Below are 9689 nucleotides of genomic sequence, written 5' to 3'. Positions count from 1 at the left end.
GAACAAAATATCTTCCCTTCCATAACTGAAGTGGTCAAATGGTAATCAACCTATCAACAAGTAGCTGGCTGATTACCCCAGGGAATGATGTCATATTGGGCATGTTGGACACTCAGCATCGGTTTCTGCTGCTGGCAGATTGGACACCCAGCAGTGTGACCATACCCACGTGGCCTTTGGTGAATTGAAGTCCATGTTGCTGAGCCCATGCATAACCTCTATCCCTGCTACCATGGCCACTTTGTTCATGAGCCTATTGGGTAATGACAAGGGTGACTTGTGAAGTAGGTTGACTGGTATCCACAGGATGGGGGTCATCCTATCTACTTCATTATAATCCTCCTCTGCTGAGGACACCTTTTGTTGAGCATGCATGTTGATCAAAAATATGTTCAGGGTTTTTCGTCTATTAAGATAAGTCAATTCACATAATTCTTTCACAAATTTCCTTGTCATTAATTTTCCATTTATGTTCCTTCCAAGTCCCTGGCCGTCCACCCAAACCACTGGCTAGAGTCCATGAATCAGTATGTAGTCAACATGTGGTCATTGCTCCTTCCAAGTAGAGTGAACAACCAGATGCACTGCACAAATTTCTGCCTTCTAGGAGAATTTCTCCACACCACTGTCCTCCAGGGATGTCTCAGTAAGAGGCTACAGCGCTCATAGAGACATAGTTTTGAGTATATGTAGGCATCACTCAAAAACAGTGGGCCTTAAATTTTTGTCATATTTACTTCCCACCTTCTGACATACTAATGTCTTCCAATAACTGGAGTAATTGCTATTTATTGCTCACTAGATCTAACAGCATAATGTTATTAAAGTAATAGACAAATGTGATAAGCTGCCTGCTTCTGAGTGGTACCTACATATATGCAAAGCTATGTATAAACCAGGCCTTAATCTTCTCTTCTTCTGACAGGTGATCATAGCAAAAACTCCATGAAACTATGGTAATGTAGCAGGAGTGGGGACCATGGAGACTTGGGACACTTTTTCATGCAACTTACTTGTATTTTTAGGGTACGCATGGGCCTTATCAGATATATACCACTTCTGTTGATGATTAAGTGTTGTGCTGCTGTGCACACCCAACTTTATGGCTTAGATAATATCCAGTTCATAATGAGATGCTCAGGTCATGTGATGACATTAATTTGGTGCCCATGGTTAAATTTTCAGTCTCTACTAAGTAGCAGGTATAAAGCTGTTTCTTAGTAGAGGAATAGTTATATGAGGAGAATGGCAGACCTTTGCTCCAAAATCCTAAGGGACTAACTGTGATTCATCTGTAGAGGCCTGGCAAAGTATTCAGACAGTACCCTTATCAGCCACTGATACTTCAGGCACCACTGGATCGCATGAATCACATAGCTAAAGCTGCAGAGTAGTTTGCTTAGCAGTCTAGATCTGTTGCAGAGCCTTCTCTTGTTCTGGGACCCACTCAAAATTAGCAGTTTTTTAGGTTGCTTAGTAAATGGACCAGAATAACACACCCACATGATGAATGTGTTGCATGTGAAATCCAGAGGCCTGCTAGGTATTGTGCCTCTTTTTAGGTGTAGAATGAGCAAGATACAACAACTTACTCTGCACCTTAAAAGGGGTATCTTGACATGACTGCACGCCACACTGAAACTCTGGAAATTTCACAGAGGTAGAAGCCCCTCAAATTTTGTCATATTTATTTCCCACCTTCTGACATATAAATGTCTTCCAATTACTCTGGAGTAATTGCTATTTATTGCTTACTAGATCTAACAGCATAATGTTATTAAGGTGACAGACAAATGTGATAATCTCATGGAAGGGAAAGAAAATCAAGATCCATGTGAACTGAATTATGACACAAGGCTAATGTGCCAACTTATCCTTGAGGTAAGATGGTGAAGGAGTATTGCCAGATTAAAGCAAACTACTAATGTGGTCTTTACAAACAGGTATTGAAATAAAAACATTTTTCAGAGCAAGAGTTGCACATCAGGTATGAGAGGATAAGTTAATTTGTTCAAGCAAAGAAACCACATCTGGTACAGCAGCTGCAATTAAGACACATCTGGTTAAGCTTACAATAATCTGGTCATTCTCCAACCTTGAATCCCACGGATAAAGGCTACTTGATCATCCTAGATAAGCTTTTTGATGTGCTGCTGGATTCAATTGGCCATTATTTTGTTGGGGATTTTTGCATGGCCTGATTTTTTTCTTTTCTTGTCTCTCTGTCAGGTTTTGGAATTAGGATGATGCTGGCCTCATAGAATGAGTTAGGGAGGAGTCCCTCCTCCTCAACTATTTGGAATAGTTTCAGGAGGAATAGTACCAGCTGTTCTTCGTACATCAGGTAGAAATCAGCTGTCAATCTGTCTGGTTCTGTGCTTTTTTTTTGTTTGATTGGCTGTTTATTACTGCCTCAATTTCAGAGCTCACTAGTGGTCTGTTCAGGAATTCAACTGCTTCTTGGTTCAGTCTTGGAACAATATGTGTCCAGGAATTTATCCATTTCTTCTGGATTTTCTAGTTTACGCACATAGAGGTGTTCATTATATTCTCTGATGGTTGTTATATTTCTGTTGTGTCAGTGGTGATATCCCCCTTATTGATTCTGATTGGATTTATTTTAATCTTCTCTCTTTTCTTCTGTATTAGTCAAGTTAGCAGTCTATTTTATTAATTTTTTCAAAGAACCAGCTCCTGGATTCGTTGATCTTTTGTATGTTTTTTGTGTGTCTCAAACTCCTGTAGCTCAGCTATAATATTGGTTATTTCTTGTCTTCTGCTAGATTCGAAATTTTTTTGTTCTTGGTTCTGCAGTTCTTTTAGTTGTAATGTTAGGTTGTGAACTTGAAATCTTTCTAACTTTTTGATGTGGACATTTACTACTATAAATTTCCCCATTAACACTGCCTTAGCTGTGTCCCAGAGATTCTGTTATGTTGTCTTTGGTCTCATTAGTCTCAAAGAACTCCTTGCTTTCTGCCTTAATTTTATTACTTTCCCAAAATTCATTTAGGAGCAGGTTATTCAGTTTACATGTAATTGTGTGGTCTTGGGCAAATTTCTTAGTCTTGATTTCTAATTTGATTGCTCTGTGGTCCAAAAGACGGCTTGTTATGATTTAATAATGTACTCCTGTAGCATAATGAACTCCGTTCTTAACATATTATGAATTATATTCCTGTCATATCAGTCGTATCAGTCAGGCTAAGGCTGAGGGTTCAATGTCAGCCTGGTTCAAAACCTTTTTTTTTTTTTTGGAGAGGTGATGTGGTCCTTTGGAGGAAAGAAGGCACTGTGGCATTTTGAGTTTTTACTGTTCATGTGCTGATTCCTTCTCATCTTTGTGGGCTTATCTACTTTCAATCTTTGAGTTTGATGAACTTTGGATTTTTTTTTTCTTTTATCATATCTGTGCTACTGGTACAGTAGCAGCTGTGCACCTCTGTTACCCACACCCAACCACTTCCTGGTCCACCCAAACATGCAGCTTCTTGTGATTGCTAAGATTCAAAGAGATGCATGCATACCTTGCTTGACTGTGCTTTGCTTTGGTGTACTTTGCATATACTACATATTTTAAAAATTGCAGGTTTGTGACAACCCTATATTGCGTAAGTCTATTAGTGCCATTTTTCTAACATTGTGTGCCCACTGACGTGTGCTCACATGAATATTTCTGTGTCTCATTTTGGTAATTCTTGCAATATTTCAAATGTTTTTGTTATTATATCTGTCATGGTGATCTGCAGTCAGTGATCTTTGATGTTACTATTGTAGTTCTTTTGGAACACTGTACTGCACCCATATCAAAACGCAAACTTACTTGATAAATGTTGCGCTCTGACTGCTCCACCAGCCTGCCATTCCACCATCTTTTTCCTTTCCCTTGGGTCTCTATTCACTGAGACACAACAATATTGAAACAGGGCCATTGATGATTTGCAAAGGTCTCTAACTATTCAGCTGAAAGGAAGAGTCACATGTCTCTCACTTTAAATTAAAAGGCAGAAATTATTAAGCCTAATGAGGAAAACATGTCAAAAGCCAAGACATGCCCAAAGCTAGATCTCTTGCACCATGGTTAGCTAAATTGTGAATGCAAAGAAAAAGTTCTGGAAGGAAATTAAAAGTGCTACTTCAGTGAACACACAAATGATAAGAAAGCAAAATGCCTTGTTGCTATTATGGAAAAGTATTAGGGGGTCTAGATAGAAGATCAAACCAGCCACATAATTTCTTTAAGCCAAAGCCCAGTCTGAAGAAAGACCCTGCCTCTCTTTAAATGTATGAAGCCTGAGAGAGATAAAGATGCTACAGAAGTGAGTTTGAAATAATTTAATTAATGAGGTTTAAGGAAATAAGTCATCTCTGTAACATAAAAGTGCAACATGAAGCAGCAAGTGCTGATGGAGAAGCTGCAGCCAAGTGCTGATGGAGAAGCTGCAGCGAGTTATTCAGAGGATCTAGCTAAGATCACTGATTAAAGTGACTACACAAAACAATAGTCAATGTAGATGAAACGCCTTATATTGGAAGATGTCCTCTAGGACTTTCATGCTAGAGAGAAAATGTCAATGACTGCCTTCAAATTTCCAAAGGACTTGCTGACCTCTCGTTAGGGGTAATGCAGCTGGTGACTTTAAGTGCAAGCCAATGTTCATTTTCCATTCTGAAAATTCTGGGGTCCTTAAGAATTAGGCTAAATCTATTCTGCCTGTGCTCTGTAAATGACACAGCAAAGCCTGGATGATAGCACATCTGTTTAGAGCATAGTTTACTAAATATCTTAAGTCCACTTTTAGACCTATTGCCCAGCAAATATATATATATATATACACATATAAATATATATATATAAATATATATATATACACATATAAATATATATATATAAATATATATATATTTATATGTATATATATATAAATATATATATATTTATATATATATTTATATGTATATATATATAAATATATATATATTTATATATATATTTATATGTATATATATATATATATATATATTTATATATATATTTATATGTATATATATATAAATATATATATATTTGTATATATATATATATTCCTTTCATAATATTACTGCCCATTGGCAATGCACTTGGTTACCCAGAAGCCCTGATGGAGAATATGATTAATGATAGTTTCATGCCTGCTAACACAACATCCATTTTGCAGCCCATGAACCAAGAAGTAATTTTGACTTTCAAGTTTTATTATTAAAGAAATACATTTTATAAGGTTATGTATGAAAGAGATATTCCTCTGATGGATCTGGACAACATCAATTAAAAACCTTCTGGAAAGGATTTACCATATTAGATGCCATTGAGAACATTCATGATTCATAACAGTGGGTCAAAATAGCAACATCAGTAAGAGTTTTGAAGAAGTTGATTCCAACCTTCAAAGATGACTTTGAGGAGTTCAGGAAGCATCTGGAAATAACTACAGTGGAAGAAGTAACTGCAGATGTGGTGGAAGTAGCAAGAAAACTAGAATTAGAAGTGGAGCCTAAAAATGGGATGGAATTGCTGCAATCTCATGATGAATATTTAGTGGTTGAGGAGTTGCTTCTTATAAGTGAATAAAGAAAATGGTTTCTTGAGATGCAGCCTACTACTGGTGAAGATACTGTGAACATGGTTGAAATGAAAACAAAGGATTTAGACAATTATATACATGTCATTGATAATGCAGCAGCAGGTTATGAGAGGACTGACTCCAATTTTGAAAGAAGTTCTAGTGTGGGTAAAACGCTATCTAACAACATTGCATACTACAGAGAAATCATTCATGAAAGGAAGAATCAATTGACGTGGTAAATTTCATCATTGTCTTATTTTAAGAAATTGCTACAGACACCCCAATCTTCAGGAATCACCACCTTGATCATTTAGCAACCATCAACCTCAAGGCAAGACTCTCCAATGGCAAAAAGCTTATGACCTGCTGATATGACTCACTGATGGCTCAGATAAGTGTTAGCATTTTTTTTTAGCAATAAAGTATTTTTAATTGAGGTGTGTACATTTTTAGACATAATGCTATTGTAGACAGATGGAATAGACTACAGAAAACTATAAACATAACTTATATTCACTGGGAAACAAAAAAGTGTGTATGACTCACTTTATTGTGATATTTGCTTTATTGTGGTGGTCTGGAACCAAACCCACAATATCTCCAAGGTACACCCATATTCTCATTGTTGCTCTGACTGTGCTGACTTTTATGATAAACATGCCTACCCTGCCTTTGGTGACTGACTGACACCACTTCACTACTGCTTTCCCAGAATCCAATTATACCCATTGCATTCAGCTTACACAATTCATTGACTGCAGTCTCCACTGTAAGGTCTGGCCTATAGATAAGAGCAACCATAGCACTCTTCAAGCATGCTAAAACTCCACTTAAAATGTCTCTCTCACAAATTTGGCCCATTTATCCCATCTGGAAAGGGTGTATTTACCTAATGCCTGTACCCCCACCATTTGTATCTAGGAAGTAACTCACTTGCTTTTAAATTTACAGGCTCATAGGTGGAAGGGACTTGCCTTATCATAGGTGAGACTGGACTGTGGACTTTTGAGTTAATGTTGAAGTGAGTTAAGACTTTGGGGGACTGTTGGGAAGGCATTATTGGTTTTGAAATATGAGAACATGAGATCTGGGAGGGGCCAGAGTGGAATAATATGATTTGGCTGCATCCCTACCTGAATCTTACCTTGAATTGTAGCTCCCATAATTCCCACGTGTTGTAGAAGGGACCCACTGGGAGGTAATTAAATTATGGGGGCGAGTCTTTCTGGTGCTATTCTTGTGATAGTGAATAAGTCTCATGAGATCTGATGGTTTTAAAAAGGGGAGTTTGACTGCATAGTCTCTCTCTTGCCTGCCACCATGTAAGACGTGACTTTGCTCCTCATTCACCTTCCACCATGATTGTGAGGCCTTTCCGGCCATGTGGAACTGTGAGTCAATTAAACCTCTTTCCTTTATAAATTACCAATTCTCAGGTATATCTTTATCAGTAGCATGAGAACAGACTAATACACCTGCCTTCTAATTAAAAAATGTATCTAGTAGCATTCATAGCTTAGAGAAATGTATTTTTTATTTGTTTTGATGACAGCATACATTAATTCTGAATTCAATTTTTGGCAATTTATCGTTAGGTATATGTATAAATAATTTTTAATTCACTTTAGGTTAAGAAAAAAATTGGTTTTAGGTCTTATTCTGGTTTTGTGAAAAATCATATTACTTTTATTTATTTGCAATTTTTAAGAGTTATATTAAATTCATTTCGGGTTGGGTTTTAGATGCATCCCATTTTCTAATCTTGTTTTTGTGGGGGACGGGAGTGCATGTATTTTTGTGTGCTAAGCACATAAAGGTGTAACATATCTAGAGAAACTATAATTTGTATGTAATGCCATGATATTGGAGAAGTCACAGTGAGTAAGTGAACATATTTGTTGTCATCTGGCTGCTGCTACACTATGAAATGTACGTATAAAATTACATTAGAATGGTTGCTTTCAGGCAGCTAGGTCTACCTTGCCACTTTTCATTAAGTTGACTATGGTTGAGGAGGTGCTATTAAAATCTAGTTAATCCTACTGAATGTCAAATTTTTTACATTAAGGAGTTAGACATGGAACCTGAGCAGAAATGACAAGTATAGCTGTCAAATTATACAATAAATTATCTTGACACACTCAGCATATTATTTCACATGCTGTAAATTATACACTGTGGTGTATAAAGAGCATAGATTTCAGAGACATATCTATTTTCAAACACTGCTCCACCACTGAGCACCACTATGAGCTATGTAGAATAATATCTGCATCATAGAAATTATTTTTAGAATATATTGTTGTGAAATAATGCAATCACATATGCTCCCCCTACACATTCTTCATTTTCCATTAAAGTACTAGACTAGGGTTTGCTTGCTTATTTAGATGGCAAATTTACCCTCTATTATTTCATTTAATTGAGTATCAGATTAAAAAATTTAAGACTTTTTGCAACATTATCAAAAACAGTCTGTTCCTCAATGAATGCTCTTGACTAAAGACACTAGTGTTTCCCACAGGGATCATTCACAAAGTACTGGGTTACTATTAAACGAAACAAAAACGAATATAGTATTTACATGGGAATTTCTTTTAGACATATTCACAAAATGATGCAGCAGCTATATTATCAGGTTTTCTGTGCACCTCATGCCCTGTGTATGAGCTCTTGGTCTTTTAGGTCCTTGGTCTTTATGTTGCTTTGTTGTTTTGTTGAAGTCATCATCCACTGCAGAACCCTGAGATCAAATGCCACACTCTTCCTTTTGAAAAGTGCTTCTTTTCCTTAAAACACACTGTTCTCTTTTCACATGGCCCTTTGATACATGACTAATTTTTTATAATGATTAAACACGGTTTTACTTAGCTGAAATATTTACATGTTACCAAAAAACTTTCTTTAACGTGTGATCAATGAGACACATCAATAACTAAAACAATGAGATAAAGAGATATATATGGATATTATACAGATATAATAACCCTTTAATCCCCCCCAAAAAAATTTTTTTTTAATATTGAGTGGTATCCCAATACTGAGAACATTTCCTTTAAGGATATGAAACAAATGTATCAAATCAATATCTGATTATTTTAGTTCGAACCAGCCACATTAACTCATAAAAGTTATAATCTTTACCTATATTGTCCTTAAAATATAATCATGATATCATTGTTTATTATATGTAGCGTCATACAGTTAAAAATATCTCTTTTTATACTCATTTGCAGTTTCAGCCTCAAATATGACTCACAATCTTAGAACTGTTTCCTTCATGTTATTTACATGTATATTTGGGTGTGTTAGAAATAAAATTTCTATAATATACACATTTATGGACCATTTTAATATTAGAGACTATTTCCAAATTATCTGCTATTAAAAATGTTAACATATTTAGCAGCTAACCAATGTACTTACTCCTCTAAAGATTGTATCACTTTTTAATCTACTGGGGCCACTGAGATTGTCCCAATGCTGTAGAATTAGTTAAAATTAATTAATCTCAAACTGTTAAATATTTAAATAAATATCTTTTGACTTTTCTACCCTAACACATTTACATGTCAGTCTGTTCCTTTTATCCTTCTATCTTTCATATTTTATTTTTATTCTCTATTGCCCCATCATTTAACTCATGTGTTCTCACTGAAGTATTAGCATCAGTAAGATGCATTCCTCCAGTTTGACAACCTTAATGGATTTTGCATCAAAATAGTCAATAATTGTTACTACTTTTTGCTAATTTATTAATTTCACTATCCTTGATGCTGTTATGATATACACTTTTTATTTGATATATTCTTGGAAGTATTATTACTATGAGCAGCATATTTTATAATGATCCATTCATCACTTTAAATATAATTTCATAAACCAACACAATAGATTAGCAACTATATGTTGATAATTTATAATCATTTTGATAAAAATGAATTGTGCATTAAAATAATAACAATATAAAATTAGTGAATTCCTTAGTTGACTATCATTAAAGCAGGCACCCTAGAGATACATCATCAAAGATAAAATGATTTTTCAGATGTAAGCAATGTCCTAGATAATTCAGGAGAGAGT

General features: G+C 35.5%; 1 annotated feature.

Annotated features, from left to right (window-relative positions):
* Positions 244–413: an enhancer, noted in NCBI's record as "experimental_101469 CRE fragment used in MPRA reporter constructs". NCBI's record gives its function as "activates a minimal promoter by MPRAs in K562 erythroleukemia cells, with activity observed for both the introgressed and non-introgressed 8:13815865 variant alleles {active_cell/tissue: K562}" and the evidence as "EXISTENCE:reporter gene assay evidence [ECO:0000049][PMID:34662402]".

The sequence above is a fragment of the Homo sapiens genome, chromosome 8, assembly GCF_000001405.40.
Source record: "Homo sapiens chromosome 8, GRCh38.p14 Primary Assembly".
In the NCBI taxonomy this organism is placed as follows: Eukaryota; Metazoa; Chordata; class Mammalia; order Primates; family Hominidae; genus Homo; species Homo sapiens.
Note: the sequence above shows the minus strand (reverse complement) of the source record. Positions and strands in the feature narration are given on the sequence as shown.